A 21916-nucleotide genomic window follows, 5' to 3' on the forward strand; every position below is an offset into this window, starting at 1 on the left:
AAGAAAGAAAGAAAGAAAAGAAAAAGAAAAAAGAGTCCGGGCACAGTGGCTCACGCCTGTAATCCCAGCATTTTGGGAGGCCGAGGTGGGTGGATCACCTGAGGTCAGGAGTTTGAGACCAGAATGGCCAACATGGCAAAACCCCGTCTCTACTAAAAATACAAAAATTAGCTGGGCGCCTGTAATCCTAGCTACTCGGGAGGCTGAGGCAGGAGAGTCACTTGAACCTGGGAGGCAGAGGTTGCAGTGAGCCAAGATCGCACTATTACACTCCAGCCTGGGCGACAGAGCGAGACTCTGTCTCAAAAAAAAAAAAAAGATAGAAAGAAAGGGCACTCCTTAAGACACTTAACAGCCATCTGTTGAAAAATTGTCATGTCACACTTTTTGTTAGAATAAGGTCCTTTACTTCCATTTGCCAGAAATTTGTCATAATAATTATATAATTAAATTATGTCTATGTGGTGAATGGCTCCCCCCGATATGTAGCATCCTTGATCAGTATAAAACTTGTACAACCATATATGGCGAGCCTGCCCAAAATCACTCCCTCCACAGACAAACACCAGCACACACAGGCACATCCTCACCACTGTACATCCAGCCACTGTCTCCCTACTGGGTCACCCCTGCTCAGAAGGCTGCCCCCTTACTCCTCAGCATCTGTCTCCAAGGAGTGAGCAATCGGGTCCTTTCTCCACCCCCAGGGCTGTTCTGAGCCCCCACGTTGCTGAAGGGCATGAAAGCTCTGTCCTTCTCACAGAGGCATCTGTGCACTCAGGTCCTGTGCAGGCCGGTGGGTTGATGTAGGGGAGCGGCAGTTATTGAGGCAGTGAGAGCCCCTCTCAAGCAGGGCGTGGGCAGGGTGAGGAGCTGCCTGCCTGCCCGCCCACCCACGTGGACCTGGCCAATTCTCCACTGCCAGTGCCACTACTGCTGTCCCTGTTCTCCCTCCCCCTGTCTGACCCAGATTCCACATTCCAGAAATAGCTCTGGCAGGTGACTGGCAGGCGGGGTCAGCTCTAGCTGGGATGGTGGGAGAAGCAGCCGCTATGGATGCGTGCCCCTCCCCAGCCAAAGGACCTATCTAGGAGGGGGCTTGGGGGTGCCATCACTCCCCAGTCTGCCCCCTCCTGCCTCTCTTCTCTCTATGCCTCTGAGAAAAAGAAGAAAGGAGAACAGCCTCCCTCCTCCTCCCTCCCTCCTCTTACTCTGCCATCTCCCTCTCTTTCTTCCAGCTTCCCCTCCCTTCCTCTCCCTCTTTCTCCCCCCACCATCTTTGCCTTCTGTCTGTCTCCCTCAGTTCTCTGCTTCTCCCTCCCACCCTCTCTGCCTTCCTTCCCTCTCAGTTTCTGGCCCTCCTCCCCGTCCTCCCTTTCTGTGTCTCTCCCACTCCCTCTGAATCACAGGGAGGCTGTGATGACAGCCAGTGGCCTGGGCAGGCAAGGTGGTGGGCTGCAGGGTGTACCCCCACTCCTGCCAGCTGCATTCTCTGCACCTGAGTGTGTGCAAGCACACAGGCACACACACTTGGGCTCACTCCCTGACAGTGCTTGTGGCTCTAGGCTGACCTGGGATGGGCTCCAGGCCTGGGAACCACCCTTGCTCCTTGCTCAGGGACCCTGAGTTCTGTGTCACTCTGAGTGGGCACCTGCCCTTCCCTGGGCCTCAAAGTCTCTATCTGTGTTGTGAGGCCTTGGTTTGGGGACCCACAGGTACCTCCCATCTGTGACAATCCAGTCATCAGCTGCTATGCCTGCCCCTCTTTGTCCCATCTTCCATCCCCCAGCTTCTTCTCTGACTGCCCTCCTACCCCTAACCTCCCCCCGGCACCACACACTCTGTATACAGGAAGGGAGGTTGATAAAATTGCAGTACACAGTCAACCCTCCAGTCAACCCTGTCCCCCAACCCTACCCTGGGCCCACCTGTCCCCTCACTCCACCGCAGGCTCTTGTCAGCCCAACGCCTCTAGTCTCCACAGTGTCAGGGCTAAGAGGAAACTCAAAGACCATCATGTCCGGAGATTGCAAATGGACTTCAACCATGTGTCATCTCTGATCCCTGGAGCTCAGTTCTGAGATTTGGTTAAGCAAAGAAAGGTGCCACCATCGATTCGCGATGTCTACCGTAGCCAGAAGAGTTACATACATCTGCAATTCCTGATCTAACCCACTTATCCCAACATGCACGTGCGCACACACAGACATGCACACACATTTACAGATATTTCACAAAGAAACATCAGCCTAGGGAAGATGATTATCTATCAAGGTCAAAGTCAGCCAGCTAGTAGGTCAGGGAGCAGTTTCCTACCTGGGTGTGCCTGACTTCGAAGCCCTGGGTTCTCCATTGCCCCCTGTGCGTGGGAGCCACCCAGTCCTGGTAAAGCAGTACAAGCATGGGTAATGAAGGTATGTTACAGGAGTTGCAGGGGAAGTCCTCTAGCAACATGGGCAGGATGGATTAGAGGCTGAGAGGCCACTCACAGGTTGGTGCAGTGGTCTAGGTAAGTGACAGTGAGGTCAGGACAGGGGCCATAGGGTCAGAGAATAATGGGAGGACCCAGGAGGCCTTCCCAGAATGAATAATGAGGAACCACAATTCCCTACTGCTGAAACAGGCACCTCTCCACAGAGGACACTGGGCAGAAGGCAGGCTTCCTGTCTGGGGTCCACCAACCCTTGGACTACGACATGCCTGATTAATTGAGTGCCTACTGTGTGCTGAGTATATGGATCCTCACTCTTCCATGTCCTGTTTTTAGCAGATCCACTCAGCCTTCTGGGGGAAATAGTGACCAGGACTGAAGGACTGGTGGGCAGGCCTCCAATCCCAGGATTGAGACTCTTGAGACAAGACAGGGGCATTCTGTATCCCCTCAGGGGGTAGAGAAGTCACCCCAAAGGAAGAGAGATGAAGGTGTTTAAATAGAACCTTGGAGGCCCTACGGCATGGTGGTTAAGCACCTGAGCCTTGCAATCAGGCATCTTTCACTGATAGATGTTTATTGATCAAGTGCTCTGGGCCAGGCTGTGTTGTAGGTACCATCAGTGAGCAAAATGGAAATCCTTGCCTTCATGGAGATTGTATTCTACTGGGAAGGGGAAGGGCAGACAAAACAATAAACATAAATAAGTGTGTGGTTTGTTGGTAGTTGGCACAGCATAAGGGGTCCTGGGAGTGGTGGCAGAGTGCAGGGAGGGGTGCCGAGGTATAAACAGGGTGGCTAGGGTACAGCTCATTGAGAGGGAGATTTTGAGTGAAGACTTTTTTTTTTTTAAGACGGAGTCTCACTCTGTTACCCAGGCTGGCGTGCAGTAGCGAGATCTTGGCTCACTGCAACCTCCGCTTCCCGGGTTCATGTCATTCTCCTGCCTCAGCCTCCTGAGTAGCTGGGACTACAGGCGCTCGCCACCACGCCCGGCTAATTTTTTTTTTTTTTTTTTTTTGAGACAAAGTCTCACTCTTGTCCCCCAGGCTGGAGTGCAATGGCTGCAATGTCCGCCTCCCTGGTTCTGGTTCAAGCGATTCTCCTGCTTCAGCCTCCTGAGTAGCTGGGATTATAGGCACCTGCCACCACACCTGGCTAATTTTTGTATTTTTAGTAGAGACGGGGTTTCACTATGTTGGCCAGGCTGGTCTTGAACTCCTGACCTCAGGTAATCCGCCTGCCTTGGCCTCCCAAAATGCTGGGATTACAGGCATGAGCCACCACGCCCGGCCAATTTTCTGTATTTTTAGTAGAGATGGGGTTTCACCGTGGTAGCCAGGATGGTCCTGATCTCCTGACCTCATGATCCGCACACCTTGGCCTCCCAAAGTGCTGAGATTACAGGCACACCCAGCTAATTTTTGTATTTTTAGTAAAGGGGATTTCACCATGTTGGCCAGGCTGGTCTCGAACTCCTGACCTCAAGCTATCCACCCCACCTCCCAAAGTGCTGGGATTACAGGCATGAGCCACCACACCCGGATTGAGTGAAGACTTGAAGGAAGTGTGGGAATAAGCAGTGCTGGGAAGCGCTCCAGGCGGGGGGTGAGTGGTACAAAGGCCCTGAGGCAGGAGGTGCCTGACAGGCTGGTGGGGGGCAGAGCACTGAGGAGAGAGCCATGGTAAGAGGTGAGGTTCGAGGACAGGGAGGGGAGGGTTGGGTCTGGCCACCGACTGTGGAAACAACTTTGTCTTTTGGCTCTGAGTACAAGGGGGAACCACTGGGGCACTGGAGCACAAGAGTGACATGACCTGGTGTGTGTCTTAAAAGAAACACTCAGACCGGGTGCGGTGGCTCACGCCTGTAATCCCAGCACTTTGGTAGGCCGAGGCAGGCAGATCACCTGAGGTCGGGAGTTTGAGACCAGCCTGGCCAACGTGGTGAAACCCCATATCTTTTTTTTTTTTTTTTTTTTTTTTGAGATGAAGTCTTGCTTCTGTTGCCCAGGCTTGGAGTGCCATGGCGAGGGGTTTCACCATGTTGGTCAGGCTGGTCTTGAACTCCTGACCTCAGGTGATCCACCCGCCTCAGCCTCCCAAAGTGCTGGGATTACAGGCATGAACCACCGTGCCTGGCAAAACCCCTCTCTACTAAAAATACAAAGCCAGGTGTGATGGCACAGATCTGTAATCCCAGCTACTCGGGAGGCTGAGGCATGAGAATCGCTTGAGCCTGGGAGGCAGAGGTTGCAGTGAGCCGAGATTGCGCCACTGCACTCCAGCCTGGCAACAGAATGAGACTCCGTCTCAAAATAAAAAAAAGAAAAGAAAAAGAAAAAAAGACTACTCAGGGGGCTGCATGGAGCCACGTTTGAGGGGCGAGAAGTGGGTGATATGGGAATACCAGGGTGATGATGGTGGCTTAGGCAGGGTGGCAGTGAGGGAGGTGGTGACAACTCACTGGATCCTGGAAGGGCTCTGAAAGTGGAGTCAACAGGATTCTTTGGTGGATTGGATGTGGGTGAGAGTGAAGGAGAACAGCTAAGGGGTGATGAGAAGGAATGGTTACACAGCCAGGTCGCGTGGGGACAGCCCTCACTCCTCTAACTGCCAGTTCTGGCACCTGAGACAGGACAGTGACTATCTGGGAAGTTGGGAGAGGAGCATCTTCACCCCCCGGATGGGGAGCCTTGGGGTCCAGGCTGGGGATTAGGGAGGGGGAGCATGTGAGTCCTGTCTGTGCCCCATCTCAGGCTGTGGTCCAGCCAACTCTGCCTTGTAGGGATTCCAGCCAGACTGGGGAGCTCTTAGGGGAAGGACCCAGTACTGGAGTACAGTAGATGTTCCATAAATATCTTCTGGGACCCTAAAGCATCACCATCAGAAGGGACTGTTAAAATCTCCTAGCCCAAGGGTCTCAAATTTGGTAAAATACAAACACTGTTTGACACTGCCTGAGTTCTGTCCCAGGAATCTGCTTTTCTTTTTTGTTATTTTTTTATTTTGGAGACAGTGTCTCACTCTGTCACCCAAATTGGAGTGCCGTGGCAGGATCACAGCTCACTACAGCTTTGACCTCCTGGGCCCAAGCAATCCTCCCATCTCAGCTTCCTGAGTAGCTGAGGAGCCACAGGCACATGCCACCACACCCAGCTAATTTTTTAATTTTTGTGGAGGCAGGGTCTCCCTATGTTGCCCAGGCTGGTCTTTTTTTAATTAATTAATTAATTTTTTTTGAAACGGAGTTTCGCTCTTGTTGCCCAGGCTGGAGTGCAATGGCGCAATCTTGGCTCACCGCAACCTCCGCTTCCCAGGTTCAAGCGATTCACCTGCCTCAGCCTCTCAAGTAGCTGAGATTACAGACATGTGCCTCCATGCCCGGCTAATTTTGTATTTTTAGTAGAGACGGGATTTCTCCATATTGGTCAGGCTGGTCTTGAACTCCTGACCTCAGGTGATCCTCCCGCCTTGGCCTCCCAAAGTGCTGGGATTACAGGCGTGAGCCACCACACTCGGCCCAGAATCTGCTTTTCAGTTGGTGCCCCCAGTGATCTCTCTTCAGGGTGTCAATCACGGTCCACAGTTTGAAAAATCTTGCCTTGGTCCAGTTTCTCTCCAGGAAACAGATAGGGCTGGTGAGTCCCAGAGAGGGAAAGGGACTTGTTCAAGGTCACACAGGGAGTGTGTTATTAAATTTGGGAGGGTGGAAGTGGAATAATGATATTTCATCTTATGCTGTGTGTGCTGCCTTGGGTTGTCAGGGCCCATAACAAATGTACCTTGTTTTTTTCCTAAGTAAATCAACCTTGGCTCACGCCTGTAATCTCAACACTTTGGGAGGCCGAGGTGGGAGGATCGCTTGAGCCCAGGAGTTCAAGACCAGCCTGAGCAACAGAGACCTTGTCGCTACAAAAAATAAAAATAACCAACTTAAAGTGAATAGTACAGGCGTAGCATAAGTGACTGAGATAGGATGACCTTCAAAGTGCTTAGCACAGTGCCTGGATTCAAAACGGTTGGCTAACCCTCAATTCCGTTTATTATTTTTACACCTTAATGCAAAAACCATGACAGTGGTATTGGAAACACTATCATCTTCGCCAGTGCTCAAAATATTTTGATATGTCAAAAATTCTTTTCTCCATTTTTTGGAAAACAGATGCGAGAAAGGAAAGGACTTGCCTAGGTCACCCAGCAAGGCAGGTCATGAACAAGAGTTGGGTCTGCGTCTGGCAGACCTACCACAGGTGCGGCCTGGAGAGATGAGGCCCACAAGGCAGCGACAGGACCTGGATTCAGTGAGGAGAGGGGACTCGCGGGGTAGAAGCCAGGAACTGGGAAGGCGAGGAGGCGTGAAGGCACCACCTACTGCCAACCCGGCTCGAGCTGGTCACTTTGCCCTCCATGAGATCGTAGGTGTGCTTGTTGTTTTATTTTACGGGGGAGGAATGGAAGGCTCAGGGAAGTTGAATGCGGATGTTGTTCAAGATCACACAGGCCTCCAGAGGCGGAGCCGGGATTGGAACCCAATCTCTAGGACTCTGGGTTAGCAAAGCAAAGGGAGGATGCAGTGGCGAGGACAGCTAGATACACCTAGGGCGCAGAGCAGCCAGGACCAGAGGGCCAATCTGACTATGCAGGGGTGAGAGGGCCACCTCGGGCAGCTTCCTCGGAGCCTCGGTTCCCCCCTTACAGCGAGGTGTCGCTGGGGTGAACTGGTGGGAACTCCCGCCTCGGTCCACCTCCCGCACAGAGCATGCGTCGCGTTCCAGCTGGAACCGGTTTGGCGAGGCGGTTCGAGGGGCGGCGACCCCACCCCCACCCCCCCATGCTCGGGCATGCGCGTGCCGACGTGGGCGCGCGCTCCTTTCCTGGGCCGGCCGGCTGGGCGTGGGCCGGACGCGGCGGCCCGCGCGCCTGCCGACCAGCCCGGCTGCGCGCGCCGGGCCACATGCCAAGCGGGCTGCGCGCGCCCCTGCCCGGCCCGGGAGTCCCTGACGACGCGCGCGCGGCTGACGCGGGGGGCGGGGAGGGGCGGGGCAGGTGCGGGACTTTAACCCGGAGCCCCGCCCCTCGGGCGTACAAAACCGGAGCCTCGGGCCGGGCTGCGTGAGGGAGGAGGGTGAGTGCCCGCCGCTGGCCGCCGCCGCCGCCGCCAGTCCGTCCGTCTGTCCGGTCCACGTCGTCGCTGCCGCCTCCTCAGCCCGGACGCCCGGGGCCCGCCCAGCGCCGCCCGGAGCAGCCGCGGCCCCGCGAGGAGACGGGGGCCGCCCCGCCCGGCCCGGCCCGGCCCTGCCCCGCCCCCGCCCTCGCCCTCCTCCTCCTCCTCCTCCTCCCCGTCTGTCCGTCCGTCCGTCCGTCCGCCCGCCCGCCCGCCCGCCCGCGCTTCCGTCCTGTCCAGCCGCCAGTCCTCCAGCCCGTGTCCCCGCTCCGCCCGCTTTGTCTCTCCCCGGCTCGCTGTCTCTTTGTCTCTGCCCTCGCGCTCCTCCGCAGCCCCTCCCTCGCTCCCCATCTCGGGTCCCCTTCTCAGAGCGCTCTTCAGCCCTCAGAGCCGCCCTTTCTGGGCGACCCCACTCTTCGGGACTCCCCCTCAGAGCGCCCCCAGATCTTTTGGGGTTCCCCTTGAGAACACCTTCCACTCTCCCCAAGGGCTCCCCGTGAGTTTCTTGCACATCCTTTGGGGGTTCTGCACCCCAAGTCGCTGGGGTCTCGCCTCCTCTGAACCCCCATTGCCCCTGGGCTTTCCCTCTTCTGGGTGTTCCCCATATCCACTGGGAGCTCCTAGGTCCCAAGTTGGGGTCTTTCTCCTTGGGACCCCCCAATATGTCCTCAGCTCCCTGACTTCAGGAGCTCCTCTCTGCTTTCCCCTGGTTTGTCCCCTGTCGCTGTCTCTCCTTGTTCTCTCTCAGGTCTCCGAGCACCCCCACTTCTCGGGATCGGGGTCCCCTGCTTTGCTCTCCCTGCCCCTCTGTGCCCCCACATCTGTCTCGGTGGTCTCGCCACTCTGTGCCTCTTGCGCTGAAGGCCCCCCTTTGAGCCTGCTTCTTTGCCTGGGGCCCTTGGCCCCCCCTTGCTTTTTCAGCCCTAGCCCCCTGTCTCCCCTTCTCTCTGCTCCTTGTCTCCCTCTCCCTTTTTCTGTCTTTGCCGGGTCTCTGGGTCTCTGACCCCCATCCGGCCCTCATGGCTTTGTGTCTGGAGCTCTTGAAGCAATGTGAGTGGTGGGGTGTCCGGGTCGGGCCGGAGTTGGCCCGCAGGCTGGCCGCGGCCGAGGCTCCATGGGGTTGGCGCTGGGGCAAGGGCTGGCGCTAGGGCAAGGGGGCTCTGAGGCCTCCCACAAAGGGGGAAAGGAGGGAGGGGCCAGGCTGTCTGGCGGAGGAGGGAGTGGGGGGCCTTCCTGCTCTGAGGCTTCTGCTTTAGTTGCTTGAGTGTGTGGAGGGCACCACGGGCTGGGCATCCCTGCCCACTTGGCCCCGCATGGCCTGGCACTTTGTGATCGCTTGTGGGCAGGCCGGGCTATTTTGGAGCCGGCAGGATGTGATATCATTTGGACGTTTATTTAGCCCCGGCTGGGTGTGGGGGCTGCGTTCTTGCCAGCTTGAGTAATGAAATTTTGCAGGGGGGTGGGGGTGGGGTCAGCCTCCTAGGCAGCTAGGCTGTGGGGTTCATGGCCAGAACTTTGCAGAACACCAGAGTGGGCAAGTGAACAAAGGTCTGTGCTGCCTGGATCTTGCTGAGATTCGATTCAGGATGAGCAGGGAGAGGACTTCTTAATCTGACCACCCTGAGGATTGACTTTGGTAGTCTAACCTCTGGGGCCTTGGTTCTGCCAGCTTCAAGGTGTTGTAACCTTGAGCGAGACCCTTGTCCTCTCTGTCAGTTTCCCTATCTGTAAAAAGTGGATAATTGTGCTGGCCTCACACTGTTGTCATGATGATCAAATGAAACATCTGTAGACACGCTTTGTGAACTGTCAGCCTGTCTTTAAACAGCCCCATCGAGGGAGAGGAGCTTGCCCAAGGGTAAACAGCTGGCTGGCTCCTGCCAGAGCTGGGACAGGGATCCAGGACTAGGACATTACAGTCCAGGGCTCTTTAACCTCCTCCCCACTACCTGGTTATTCGAGAATGCACCTGCCCTTCCAATAGAGCAGGGAGACGGCTGTTTCTTAATTCAGGCCCCAATCCTGCTTGTTCTTTGTTAGTCCGTTTGTAAAGATAGATGGGCGTGCCCATCGGGATGTCTGTGCAGGGGGACAGTTGGATTTTCCATGTTCCATCCCATTGTTGTTTAAGGGTGGGCCCTGCTTGGACAGTGGCACTTGGAATAAAGTCACTTTGTAGTTGTGAGCCTTGGCTGCTTTTCCTGCTTCCCCTGTAGAGTAGGGGAACAAAGACCTCAGCCGAGAGAGGTTCTGCAGAGAGCTGGGGTTTGCTGTCAAGGAGCTTAGGATGTCCTAGAACTTTGGTGCAGGGAATGAGATCAGCTGTTCAAGCGCCTTGTCTTACAGATGAAGAGATGAGGCCCAGAAGGGCCAGGGACCCACAGAGGTTTGAGCCAGGACTTCTGGGTCCTGTTCCATGGCACTGCCTTTGAAGAAGTCACTGTCATGCTGTTATCACCTGCCCCTGGTGTATAATGACAATCTCTAACATCCTTTGACCTTTTTACTGTGTACGCTGTGCTTGGTGCTTTACTTCAGCTACTTGCAGTGGAAAAGAAGAAGGGCTTGGTGCCTGGCCTGGAAGTGAGGGGTGCAGGATCCCAGTTCCCACATCTCACCCACTTTTAGGGATGTCACTTTCCTTTGGGCTTCAGCTTCCTAATCCATAAAATGGGAATAACATTCCTTATCCTAAGACTGATTCTGAAATCATGGAATCCCTCAAGAATTGTGTGAGCAGCGGCTCACTCCTGTAATCCTAGCACTTTGGGAGGCCAAGGCAGGCAGGTCGCTTGAGCTCAGGAGTTCAAGACCAGCTTGGGCAACAAGACAAAACCCTGTTGCTCCAAAAAATACAAAAATTAGCTGGGTGTGGTGGCATGCGCTTGTATTCCCAGCTACTTGGAGGAGGCTGAGGCAGGAGGACAGCTTGAATCCAGAAGGTCAGGAGGTCGAGACTGCAGTGAGCTGAGATCATGCCACTGCACTCCAGCCTGGGTAACAAAATGAGACCCTGTCGACCGGGCGCGCTGGCTCACGCCTGTAATCCCAACACTTTGGGAGGCCGAGGCGGGCAGATCACTGGAGGTCAGGGGTTCGACATCAGCCTGGCCAACATGGTGAAACCCCGTCTCTACTGAAAATACAAAAATTAGCTGGGTGTGGTGGCACACGCCTGTAATCCCAGCTACTTGGGAGGCTGACGCAGGAGAATCATTTGAACCTGGGAAGCGGAGGTTGCAGTGAGCTGAGATTGCACCATTGCACTCCAGCATGGGTGACAAAAGCAAAACTCTGTCTCAAAAAAAAAAAAAGAAGAAACTGTTCCAGAGAGTAGAAACTCTGGGTTTCAGAACCACAAACGCCTGGTTTTAATCAGTCTCCATCATTCACTGCGTTTGTAATCTTGGGCAAATTATTTCTTTGAGCTTCAGTTTTCTTATCTGGACTCAAGATCTGTACTACAGGATTATGATGAGGATTAAATGAGATTATGTATTTTTTTTTAAATCTGGTGCACAGTAGGCACTTAATAAATGTGAACTTTCCCTTCCCAAAAACATCTGGGTGACTTTTCTCTTTGTAGGAACTAGACAGCCCAGTTCCCCCCCCATCCCCCCCACCCCCGCATGCCCTGTGGTTGGGGTTTAGATAACTAGGAAAGCACCTGTGGCTATTCTAATAGTAATAGGAGTGATCTTCTCATCTCTCCCAGGCTGTGTGAGGCATTGTGTAATCAGCCAGGCTCTTTCCCGACCATTGTTCTCCACCAACAGGCCTGGAAGTCGGAAGCCAGTGGAGTTCTCCCTGTTTCACAGGTGAATGAAAAATAGGGGGCCCAGAGAGAGACAAGGACCTGCTCAGGGGCCCACAGCCACAGCAGTGACAGGCAAACTTGTAGCCCAGGCCTCTTCTCCACAGCCCGCAGCGTTTCTCCAGGTTTATGGCTTCTGCCTGATAGCCTACCCCTCAGGCCGCCTTCCCTGGGTCTGTTCCCATCTGTTCTGGGAGGAGGGTTTTCTTGACATTTCCCCAGTCTCTGAGCTCATCTTGAATTTAAAAGGAGGCTATCTGGAGGCTGGGTGGGGACTGAGTCACCACCTCCCGTGGCTTTCTCATCCTGAGCAGCAACCAGACACACCCAGAGGGCCACTGCTGGAGACCTGCAGATTGTAAATGCCACACAGGCTTTCTTCCCAGAAGCTCAGATGGGCTCTTGCGGGAAGGCTGTCATCGTGGTTCTGTATGTATTTCTTCCTTCCCCTAGCCACTTTGAGAAGTTGTTGCCTGTCCTTTCCCGCTTCAGCCTTTATTAATGCTGTCCTCTTCCCCTATAGTGCCCTCTCTTCCCCTAGAGGCCCACACTGTCAAATGCCACCTCCCCCAGGAAGTTTGTCCTTGCTGGCTCTGGAGTCCCAGCAGGACTCCTGAGGATGCTTACGGCATGACCTTGGCAGGTCACGCCACCTTTCTGTGCCTCAGTTTTCTCATATATAAAATTTGGGTTTCTTGTCTTTATAAAGCTCCATCCCTAGACACTCTCATTTGGCAGGTCTTGGGGCAGGAATCACATGCCCCTAGGTTTTTAAACCAGCTCTCTAGAGGATGCTGGTGCTGAGAGCCTGTCGGCTGCAACCTGGGAAAAGCTGAACTGAGAGGACCCTGGTTTGCATGACAGCCTAGCTTGTTGCTGTGTGACCTTGGATTAGTCAGCTTTCTGTACCTCCGTTTTCCTCCCTATCAGATTGGGATGGAAATGAGAACTCGTGTAGTAACAGCCCCTCAATAAATGGCAGTCATCACCATCATCAGCTTTGTTTTGTGTGGGGATTGGTGGTTTTCAGAAGCAAGTCACCTTTCCCCTACTTGGTCCTGGCAGCAGGCACTGTCAAGTCAGACTGGGCCAGGGTGCAGGCTGTGGAATTGAACACCTGAGCAGGAATGAAGTCTAGTCCTTACAGGAATGTAATGAGGTTGATGAGGTGTGTGGTGTAAATCTCTCTCGGGTTCCCAGATTTCCCAGACCTGACTGTGGCTGCCTTTCCTCACTCAACCTGTGCTGGAATCAGCTGTGTTAACAGACAGACCCACCCATTCTTAGAAACCAAGGCTACCTTAAAGAGAAATACAAGCCACATTCTAGAGCTAAAACATGGCTGTTCCACAGCATGGAGGCAGGCCCAGGGACGGGTAGGGATGCCTAGGATCCCAGAGCAAGACTAGAGCCACATCTCTGCCTCCCTCCCCCGGGCTCCCTCGTCTCTGTACATCACTGGCCTGGAGCCCTGAGGTCTGGTTTGGCCAGTGAACAGTTTCCTCATGGGATAGGAGCAAGAGAAGTGGTCCCAAGTGGTCAAAGCGAGTCTCTCGCTCTTGCTCTCTCTCTCTCTCTCTCTGTCTCTCTCTCTCTCTCTCTGTCTCTCTCCTCTCTCTCTCTCTCTGTCTCTGTCTCTCTCTCTCTCTCTCTCCTCTCTCTCTCTCTCTCTCTCTCTCTCTCTCTCTCTCTCTCTCTCTCCCCCCCCCTTCTCTCGGCCCTGCCTTCCTAGCCCTGGGCCAGGCTCTGAGAGGATGGGGATTAATAGACAGACAAGGCGTCTCTGCCCTGAGGAACTTATGGTCTGACAAGAAGACAAGCCTACAATTATGAGAGACTGTGTGACACTCTGTAATTAAGCGTCTGCTGAGGAAAAGCATTGTCTGAGAAGGAAGAAGTGAGCATGAGCCAGAGGAAACAAGAGCCCTTTGAGGGGAGCTGGATTTGCAGAGGCAGAGGGTGGTGCCGACATTCCAGGGAGGTGGGTGCAGAGGGCATGGCTGGATGATAAGTGTGCATTTAGGGAAACAGCAGTATGCTAGTTTTGCTGAGGCATCAGGGCTCTGGCTGGAAAATCTGGGTGGAGCCAGGAGGTTGTAGGCAGTGTTAAACAGCTGAAAAGCAGAGGCACTGGGGAGGCATGGAAGGTTTTAGAGCAGAGGTAGCACAACTGGAAGACTTTCCAGAGGATGAATCAGGCTGGGTAAATTGGAATGAATAAAAATCACAACAGGGAGGAGGCTTTGCAGGCATCCAGATGACACAAGAGGGTGAGGTTTGGGTGGGGCCCATGGGAGTGGGAAGAGCCAATTGGGGTAGCAGAGGATGCTGTGCTCCCTTAGGAAAGCTTGGCCAGCGCTCTGATGGGCCAGAAGGGAAAATGTTGGGTGTTGCTGGTTTGGGGCAGGAAGTAGCAGTCTGAGCACATTTCTTGTACACCTGCTGTTTGCCTGGCTCTGCGCCAGGGGCTCCACAAGGGCGCTCATGAAATCTGTACAATAAGCCAGAGGCAGATGGACTTCCCATCCCTGTTTTGCAGATAAGGAAAAGGTAGCTCAGGCCCAAGGCCAACTGTCTCCAAACCGTGTCTCTTCCCACAGCTCAGCTCTGCTTCTTGGAAAGGGAACTCCTGCTTTTAGGGTCCCAAGGGGCTGAGCCTTCTTTCCCTTTAATTAGGAGCAAGCACATTTATCCTAAAAGCCCACAAATCTTGCTTTCTAAGGATCCTGAAGGTCAGGGTGCCAGTTTAGAATTCCTTAAAGGTGGAAGAGTCAGAGGAGCTAGGGACCCTCACACAAGCAGTTTTACACACTGGACTGTGAGAAGGTTCCGGAGTTGTGCTGTGTATATGTCCAGTCTGATAGTAGGCATGTCCACCACTGGGTCTGTTGGAATTCTCAGCCAGCCCCCACCAGAGAGGGGCCCAGCCAACGCAATCAGTCACCCACAAAGGCGGGAAGGGACTTGTCTCCAAGGTGCCTTGCACAGGAGAGCCAAGTGACGGAGGCTAGGACTCATTTCTCAGGCTGCAGCCAGGAATCCCCAGTGGGCAGAGGGAAAGGGAAGGGGACTAGTGCTTACACAGTGGCTACCATGGGAGGCAGCAGTGGTTGGTCCCAGTGTACAGCCAGGAAATTGATGGCTTGGCCGAGGCCTCCCAGCCAATCATTCTCTCTGTGTGCAGCCCACACTCCTCTGAACACAAACTTGGTCATGAGGCAGAGCAACCACATGGCAGGCACAGCCTCCAGGTGCCCCTCACCCTGCTGGTCCCTTGCCTCCAGCAAACACCCAGCATCTGTATGCCAGTTTGCTTTGGCAGATACTCTGAGCCCAGTGGTATGCAGGGTACAATTGTAACTGTAACCGTGTTCGTCATACCAAAATCTGGACAAAGGTTTTGAGAGATTTTTTGCTCCTTTGGAACAGAGGTGGCCTGAGAAATGCTATTTGGACTTTGGAACAGTGGACTAGAGTGACCTATGCTGTCCCTTTCCATTGTAGTAATTCATTTGATGACCATCTGGAGCCAGTTGCTTTCTCGTAAATTTGCTCATTCTCCCGTATATTCATTCTTTTTGTTTTGTTTCAGCACGTTGGTTCTGGATCTTTAATATTTGTTTAGTTTGTTTTGATTTGCAGAGCACTTTCATACACATTATCTCAGTAGATCTTTATCCAACTTTGGAAAGTATTACTATTCTTATCATCCTTGTTTTTCAGAAGAGGAAACTGAGGTTCACTGGTAGAAAGAGGCTTGACCAAGCTCACTGTGGCTGAGCTACTTATTCAATAAATATTTATTAAGTGCTGCTCTGTGCCTGGCAGTGAGCTGGCCCTGGGGAAACACTGACAGACAGAGCTGCCTTAAAGACTTAGTTTCTGACCTCCCAGAGTCTGCAGCAGCAGCACACCGAGATCTAGCCAGGATCCACCCCAGGCTCCTAACCTGCATCCTGGGCCCTCTCCACTTCAGGTCCCTGTAGTTTGGGCCTGTGGCTTAGGTCTAGACTGTTGCAGCCCGTGAGCCCTTATCCTGGAGCATCTTGGTATAAAGCAAGCCAAGGCATAAGTCTCTGCAAACCGAACTTCAAAAGTAACAAAAGAGGCTGGGCATGGTGGCTCACGCATGTAATCCCAGCACTTTGAGAGGCTGAGGCGGGCGGATCACCTGAGGTCAGGAGTTCGAGACCAGCCTGGCCAACATGGCAAAACCCAATCTCTACTAAAAATACAAAAATTAGCCGAGCGTGGTGGAACATGCCTGTAATCCCAGCTACTCAGGAGGCTGAGGCGGGAGAATTGCTTGAACCCGGGAGGTGGAGGTTGCAGTGAGCCGAGATCGCGCCATTGCACTCCAGCCTGGGCAACAGAGCAAGACTCTGTCTCAAAAAAAAAAAAAAAAAAGTAACAAAAGAGGTCTTCAGGAATGGCTTAATTATTAACAGGGTGAGGAAGGGCATCTCAGCAGAAGGCCATCTGCTCCTTCTCCCTGGGGGAACGTTGCCCAAGGGCTGCTTTACCTAAGATCCTTGTGTGAATTTTCTGCAGCCTCCAAATATTTGATTACACTCTGCACAGGTGTGGAGCTCTATGGCCATGTGCTGAGCTGGGGACCCTCCCCACCTCCTTTAATATTAAATGAGATGAAATAAAGTAAGGTCCTAGGATAGCAGGTCTGAAAAGGACTCTGGCCCAGCCCCTTCCTTTCCCATGAGTAGGAACTAAATCTCGGAGGAAAGGGACTTGCCAGGATCCCATACTGAGAGACCTTCCTTCCCCTTCCCCTCCCTTATCAGTTTCACTTAATTTCCCGTCCTTCCTGTAGGAACCCTCTCATCCCAGCTGTACATGGTCAGCATTCAAAGCCTTCTTCAAATCCTTCCTATGCCTCAAAGTCAAGTTTTCCCACAGTCTTCCCTGGCACTCTCCTCCACACCCCAGAGCCCCACAGTGTCCAGGCTTCCTCAGTCTACTCTCAGAGGCTGACTGCCTGTTCTGCAAGGCTAGACCAGCAGCCCTTGAGGAGACATTTCAAAATCTGTGTGCCTGGGTCCTGCCTCCCCTCCCAACCCAGGGAGTCTGATACCTGAGATCTAGGAAGAGGCATCTCTGGATACGTTTTGCTGGAGGTTTTTTTTGTGTGTAAAAGTTATATTTTTACTGAAAAAGCAATACATGTATGTTGGTTTAAAAAAATTCAAACTTGGTTAAAAAAAAAAAAAAAGCCCAATGAAAAATTAGTCCCTGTCCTACCCAGACACCTAATCACTGTGACGAGTCTTGAGGTTTCCTTATAGAAATACTCAGCATCACGTGCAGCTATTGTCAGTAACATCCCTTTTTATTACTTAGACAGTGGCATAGTCTCTCCCTACTTTTCTATACCTTGAATTTTTCATGTAAGTCTCTGTTGCAGGTTATTCTTGGTGGGCACATACAGGTTCATGGCCACCTTTGCTCCTGAGCATGTGGCTTTCCATTGACGGATAGACCACCAGTTGTTTGTCCTCTACTCAAGGATGTTTAGCTTGTTCTCAATCTTGCTGCTGTAAACAGTGCTGCAGTGAACACCCTTTCCTGTGTGTCTCCATGCACGAGTGCATGTGTAGCTGTCGGAGCCATTTCTGCACACAGAATTACTCTTTCCAAGAGTCTGTGCGCTTAAAATTTTGTCATGTATTTTTTAATTGCCTTCTTTTTCATTCTGAAAATGTATATATTTTAAAAGGCACCCCGCCTTCACCCCCAGATTCAAATTTGTTTCCTCCATGAGCTCCTCTCGTGCTGCACCTGCTTAGCAACGGTGAAGCCAGTGAGCTCATTCAAATATTTACTGACCTTGCCGGGCGCGATGGCTCATGCCTGTAATCCCAGCATTTTGGGAGTCCAAGGCAGGCAGATCACAAAGTCAGGAGTTCGAGACCTCTACTCGACCTGGCCAATATGGTGAAACCCCGTCTCTACTAAAAATACAAAAATTAGCCGGGCGTGGTGGTGGGTGTCTGTAGTCCCAGCTACTCAGGAGGCTGAGGCAGAAGAATCACTTGAACCTGGGAGGCGGAGGTTGCAGTGAGCCGAGATTGCACCTCTGCACTCCAGCCTGGGTGACAGAGCAAGACTCCATCTCAAAAATAAATAAATAAATAAATAAATAAACTGACCTCCTGAATCCCAGTGCTGGCTTGGCTGCTATACTCTTGCCCTTCACTGAACCTCAGTTTTCCTCATCTGAATAGTTGGGAGACTCATTCCTGCCTTTCTCATGTCCCTGGCTATTTGGTAAACCAGCCAGTAGGAAGACATCGTGAAATGTATTAAAGTGGTCTTAGCTAGACAGAGTGGGCATGCCAGGGTCAGCAGAGATTCTGAAGTCTAGACCAGTTCCCTGGGTGGGCCGTTGTCAGTCCTAGCAGATGGCCAGGTCAGCCCTCAGGCTGGAAATTTTAGGGCAGCTATTGGTAGGTGTCTCCTCTTGCTGTGCTGAGATACGGTCAAGATCATACTTAGGCTTTTGTTGGAAGAACATACAAGACGAGAGAAAAAAAAAGATCATACTTAGGGGCTCCCGGAATTTGCTCTGCCCTAGGTTGCTGAGACCTCTAGAACCTGTGCAGGCTAAAGGAACTCAGTCGGTAGATCCGAGAGAGGTGGTCAGGGAGACCAGGAGCATGTCTACACTGCCAGCAGACTTTTGCCTCCTCCCCCAAGCCAGCAGGATGGCCCAAAAAGGCTCCCCCAGCAGATCATCTTTGCAGCTCCTTTTTTAGCTCCAGTGGCAGCAGGGATGAGGAAGGGAAAGTTCTATCATTTTTTTCTAATTTAAAATGACATTTAAAATCACTAGCCTAGTGGGGGCCAGGTGTGGTGGCTCATGCCTGTTATCCCAGCACTTTGGGAAGCCAAGACGAGTGGATCACTTGAGCTCAGGAGTTAAAGACCAGTCTGGGCAACATAGCGAAACGCCGTCTCTATAAAAAAATACAAAAATTAGCTGGATGTGGTGGTGCACACCTGTATTCTTAGCTGCTTGTGGGGCTAAGGCGAAAGGATCACTTGAGCCCAGGAGGTCAAGGCTGTAGTGAGCTGTTTGTGCCACTGCACTCTAGCCTGGGTGACAAAGCAAAACCCTGTCTCAAAAAAAAAAAAAAAAAAAAAATCACTAGCTTAGTTCCTCCCTCCTATTTTATCAATAGGAAAACTGCAGCCTGGAGAAGTTGAAGATCTCCTCCCAAGTCTCCCAGTGAACTTGACAGGTCTCAGCTCACTTCTGCTTGGATTAGAAGCCAGGCATTTGACTCTCCTAGTCCTTAACTCTCAACATCTTTCCCAAATTGTTCTAGTCGTAAAGTTTCACTTTGGGGTTAAAAACCAAAGTGAAAGAAAAATGGCAAAGCAGGAAGCAGCCACTTCAGACCCAGCCCAGGCTGAGGGGACACTCTGAGGGACCCAGGCCCAGGTGGCCTCATGAGGAGGGGAGCAGGCCTTTTCCCTACCCACTCCCACCCTTGCTCTGGGAGCCTGGCTGGGGTAGGGACTGGGTGGGGCCCCGCAGGGAGAGGCGCCAGGCTACAGACAGGCAGTGGCGTCCTGGCCTGGCCCACTGCTGTCTGGGAGACAGCCAGTAGGATGGGTTCTCTGGTGAAGTCAGCCCCATGTGGGTGTGGTCCCAGCCGGGCTCCAGGTAGGCCTTTTAAACTCCCATCCTTCCGGGGCAGAGCTGAGCTGGAGCTGGGCTTCTGTCAGCTTGGGAAAGAAATCCTGGCTTCCCAAACCCAGCTTTCACAGAGCATTTCACTTTCCCTGAAGGTAAGAGCCAGTGCCCTGTCTTTACCATGAAAACTCTTAAACTTTTGGTCACTGTGGGCACTTACTTACCTCCTATAGTTTCTTTTTGGGACCCAGATGTCCTGAAAGCCAAAGGATGGAGGAGCTGGAACTGCTGGCTTCTCACCATTTTATGTCGCTGAGTTGTTGGGTGGCCTCAGGCAAGACCCTTCCCTTCTCTGGCCTGCAGATTCCTCATTTGTTTGTCAGCAGGAGGGAGCTCCTTCTATCTCTGCTATTAAGTTGAATTTGGTTCCTGGAAGCTGGTGAGAGAGTATCGTAACACCCAGTTTGGTTGGCCTGTGTCTTTCAGATATTAACTGTTACCTGATTAGCTGGGGTCTCAAGTTCCTATTTCCTGTGCTTTTACTAAGGAAATTCTCAGACTTATCAATGCAAATATGGTATCAATTTTGTTGCTAGACCAAATATGATTTTTTAAAATAGAGATTTCCCACTATGCTACCCACGTTGGTCTCAAACTCCTGGGCCCAAGCAGTCTGCCCGCCTTGGCCTCCCAAAGTGCTGGGATTACAGGTGTGAGCTACCATGCCTGGCCAGCAAATACGATTTTTATGTACCTCTCTTCTCCTTTGCACAGTCACAGGGTCCCTAAGTACAGAGCTGGAGTCCAGTCCCTAAGGGCACCTACTGAGCATACAGTAGGTGATCAGGAAGCCCACACCCCAGAGGTCATATGTACCTATAGTTAAGAGCATCTCTGTAGAGTTGGACTGCTGGGGTTCAGTTCCTGGGCTGCCAGCTAGAGCTGTGAGACCTTGGACAAGGTACTTAACCTCTCTGGGCTTGTTTCTTCACCTGCAAAATAGAGATGCTAATAATACCTGACTGTAGTCCAGCATGAGGACAACAGAAACTTGTGCAAAGCACTAAGCACAGTGCCTGGTACAGAGGAAGCATTTGAGAAGTATTAGCTGCTGCTGTTACTGACATCCAGGGGGAAAGAGAAGACTTGAAATAGCCAAAAACTGTCCATGTCCCATGCCTGGAAAGATGTAGATGGATTGGGTGGGCTGTTTGGAGTGGAGTCAGTTATTTGATGGCTGTTTGCCAAGTGCAGGGCTCTTATGGGGAAAGGTGGCCTGGGTTAGGGGAGAGGCGAATGCTCTGCGTGAGGGAAGGGGAAGAAGGGCAGACTGTCCAGGGTTCAGGAAACCCAAGATCAGGCTGGAGAATCTATCCAGGGCTGTCAGAATCTGCCAGGTATGTGGAGCTAGAGTTCTCTCTGCAGGGTCATCACTCCATCTGGGCAGTTTCCTACTGGGGGCTGTGACGAGGACCTATTATTGACTGCGGAGAATAGGTTGGATAGTTCTAGCCTCTCCTGGAACTTTCTTGCCTTCCCCCTGGCGTGGCTGTTGCCCTGCACAGGGATGCAGTAATAGGAGTTGTCTGCCTGCCTGTGGAGTGCAGACCAAGGTGGGGTGGGGAAGAGGGGCCTGTCTGACATCACCCAGTAAAGGTAGGGCTGCCACCGTTGCTGCTGTCCCAGCAGTTTCTTTAAAAGAGGCACATGCAGCAGTGTGTGGGAAGGGTGGGGGGTGGAGGGCAGGGATTGGGCTCCTCCCTCCTTCCTACCCCACCTCCACTTCTCTTTCCAAACAATCAGCCATTCATTTACTTGAGTGCCAAGTGCTGTGCCAGGAGCCAGGGAGAGACTAGGGAACAAGATTGACTTCCCTCCAGCTTGGAGTCCCCACCCAAGCAGGTAACAAATAAACAGGATACTGTCTAATCTGTTAGTGATGAGAACCCTAAAGGAAACAAGTAGATGCTGAGAAATTGGGGAAGGCATCTCAGGGAAAGTGACTGCTGGATGGGAAGGAGGCAGTCAAGGGCCGACTGGGAGGTGTCACGACCCTGAGGTGGGGGTATCTTGAGGGAACAGGAGAGGTAGGGGTTACATCTGGAGTAGTCTCAAGGTCAGGCAGGACCCTGGGGGTCTCGGTGAACCTAAAGAGGTGTGATAATGAATGTACTGCAAGTGAATATGTTTATATGTTTCTTCCTTTTTTTTTGAGATGGAGTCCCGCTCTGTCACCCAGGCTGGAATGTAGTGACATGATCTTGACTCACTGTAGCCTCGCCTGCCGGGTTCAAGTGATTCCCCTGCCTCAGCCTCCTGAGTAGCTGGGATTACAGGCGCCTGCCACCATGCCTGGCTAATTTTTGTATTTTTAGTAGAGATGGGATTTTGCCATGTTGACCAGGCTGGTCTCGAACTCCTGACCTTGTGATCCGCCCGCCTCGGCCTCCCAAAGTGCTGGGATTACAGGCGTGAGCCACCAAGCCCGGCTCTCCATACAATCTCTTACCCAATTCCTGTCCAAGATTCTATGATACTAACACATCCATTACTGCCTTTGTACACCTCTGATCTTTATTTTCTGTTTGGATTATTTTTCTTTTATTTATATTTGCTGAATTTCAGTAAAGAGATTGTAGGCAGATTATTAACCAGCCCTTGCTCACAAATACAGTTAACTCAAATCAGAAAATTTTTAAAAATGCTTAGTTTTAAATATTTTATTTGTGACTTTTAGGTTTGGAATGAGTAAAATCAAAGCAGTTTGATAACTGCTGGGGCTCATTCTTCAGTGGGCCGCTCACTAGTCCATTTTTAACACTGTCTTAATGACCATCTTAACCTTTTTTTTGT

At 52.3% G+C, this 21916-nt stretch overlaps 1 protein-coding gene across 17 annotated transcripts in view, besides 12 other annotated features; it reads left to right on the forward strand.

Moving 5' to 3' along the window:
* Positions 1–21916, forward strand: part of DLGAP4 (DLG associated protein 4) — a 222295-nt gene that overhangs the window by 147616 nt on the left and 52763 nt on the right. For 4 of the 17 annotated variants that reach the window (NM_001388260.1, NM_001388277.1, NM_001042486.4 and 1 more), the window contains exon 1: positions 7514–7556. The exons of 5 other annotated variants lie outside the window; for them this stretch is intronic. Coding sequence is in view for 2 of the 12 variants with exons in the window: in NM_001388278.1 (NP_001375207.1) it covers positions 8615–8645 (31 nt within the window). In the remaining 10 variants the exon portion in view is untranslated. Of the gene's footprint in view, positions 1–7513; positions 7557–7840; positions 8646–11310; positions 11414–19115; positions 19219–21916 lie in introns of those variants that run through there. 8 more of the 17 variants (NM_001388271.1, NM_001388278.1, NM_183006.4 and 5 more) reach the window with 4 other exon arrangements.
* Positions 382–1182: an enhancer, noted in NCBI's record as "H3K27ac-H3K4me1 hESC enhancer chr20:35082739-35083539 (GRCh37/hg19 assembly coordinates)". NCBI's record gives its function as "activates a minimal SCP1, AML or CMV promoter by ChIP-STARR-seq in primed H9 embryonic stem cells {active_cell/tissue: H9 hESC(primed)}" and the evidence as "EXISTENCE:reporter gene assay evidence [ECO:0000049][PMID:30033119]".
* Positions 6973–7555: a silencer, noted in NCBI's record as "fragment chr20:35089330-35089912 (GRCh37/hg19 assembly coordinates)". NCBI's record gives its function as "represses an EF-1alpha promoter that drives an FKBP-Casp9 reporter gene in an ReSE screen in phorbol 12-myristate 13-acetate-treated (for megakaryocytic differentiation) K562 erythroleukemia cells {active_cell/tissue: K562(+PMA)}" and the evidence as "EXISTENCE:reporter gene assay evidence [ECO:0000049][PMID:32094911]".
* Positions 6973–7856: a biological region, named in NCBI's record as "H3K27ac-H3K4me1 hESC enhancer GRCh37_chr20:35089423-35090213".
* Positions 7066–7856: an enhancer, noted in NCBI's record as "H3K27ac-H3K4me1 hESC enhancer chr20:35089423-35090213 (GRCh37/hg19 assembly coordinates)". NCBI's record gives its function as "activates a minimal SCP1, AML or CMV promoter by ChIP-STARR-seq in primed H9 embryonic stem cells {active_cell/tissue: H9 hESC(primed)}" and the evidence as "EXISTENCE:reporter gene assay evidence [ECO:0000049][PMID:30033119]".
* Positions 7261–7740: a silencer, noted in NCBI's record as "silent region_12871". NCBI's record gives its function as "represses an Ori minimal core promoter by ATAC-STARR-seq in GM12878 lymphoblastoid cells {active_cell/tissue: GM12878}" and the evidence as "EXISTENCE:reporter gene assay evidence [ECO:0000049][PMID:35858748]".
* Positions 7857–8647: an enhancer, noted in NCBI's record as "H3K27ac-H3K4me1 hESC enhancer chr20:35090214-35091004 (GRCh37/hg19 assembly coordinates)". NCBI's record gives its function as "activates a minimal SCP1, AML or CMV promoter by ChIP-STARR-seq in primed H9 embryonic stem cells {active_cell/tissue: H9 hESC(primed)}" and the evidence as "EXISTENCE:reporter gene assay evidence [ECO:0000049][PMID:30033119]".
* Positions 10054–10980: an enhancer, noted in NCBI's record as "H3K27ac-H3K4me1 hESC enhancer chr20:35092411-35093337 (GRCh37/hg19 assembly coordinates)". NCBI's record gives its function as "activates a minimal SCP1, AML or CMV promoter by ChIP-STARR-seq in naive H9 embryonic stem cells {active_cell/tissue: H9 hESC(naive)}" and the evidence as "EXISTENCE:reporter gene assay evidence [ECO:0000049][PMID:30033119]".
* Positions 10981–11906: an enhancer, noted in NCBI's record as "H3K27ac-H3K4me1 hESC enhancer chr20:35093338-35094263 (GRCh37/hg19 assembly coordinates)". NCBI's record gives its function as "activates a minimal SCP1, AML or CMV promoter by ChIP-STARR-seq in primed H9 embryonic stem cells {active_cell/tissue: H9 hESC(primed)}" and the evidence as "EXISTENCE:reporter gene assay evidence [ECO:0000049][PMID:30033119]".
* Positions 11482–11661: an enhancer, noted in NCBI's record as "active region_17806". NCBI's record gives its function as "activates an Ori minimal core promoter by ATAC-STARR-seq in GM12878 lymphoblastoid cells {active_cell/tissue: GM12878}" and the evidence as "EXISTENCE:reporter gene assay evidence [ECO:0000049][PMID:35858748]".
* Positions 11552–11846: a silencer, noted in NCBI's record as "tiled region #254; HepG2 Repressive non-DNase unmatched - State 25:Art". NCBI's record gives its function as "represses a minimal TATA promoter and a strong SV40 promoter by Sharpr-MPRA in HepG2 cells {active_cell/tissue: HepG2}" and the evidence as "EXISTENCE:reporter gene assay evidence [ECO:0000049][PMID:27701403]".
* Positions 13681–13730: an enhancer, noted in NCBI's record as "active region_17807". NCBI's record gives its function as "activates an Ori minimal core promoter by ATAC-STARR-seq in GM12878 lymphoblastoid cells {active_cell/tissue: GM12878}" and the evidence as "EXISTENCE:reporter gene assay evidence [ECO:0000049][PMID:35858748]".
* Positions 18587–19487: an enhancer, noted in NCBI's record as "H3K27ac-H3K4me1 hESC enhancer chr20:35100944-35101844 (GRCh37/hg19 assembly coordinates)". NCBI's record gives its function as "activates a minimal SCP1, AML or CMV promoter by ChIP-STARR-seq in primed H9 embryonic stem cells {active_cell/tissue: H9 hESC(primed)}" and the evidence as "EXISTENCE:reporter gene assay evidence [ECO:0000049][PMID:30033119]".

Source organism: Homo sapiens, chromosome 20 (genome assembly GCF_000001405.40).
Source record: "Homo sapiens chromosome 20, GRCh38.p14 Primary Assembly".
NCBI classification, from domain to species: domain Eukaryota; kingdom Metazoa; phylum Chordata; class Mammalia; order Primates; family Hominidae; genus Homo; species Homo sapiens.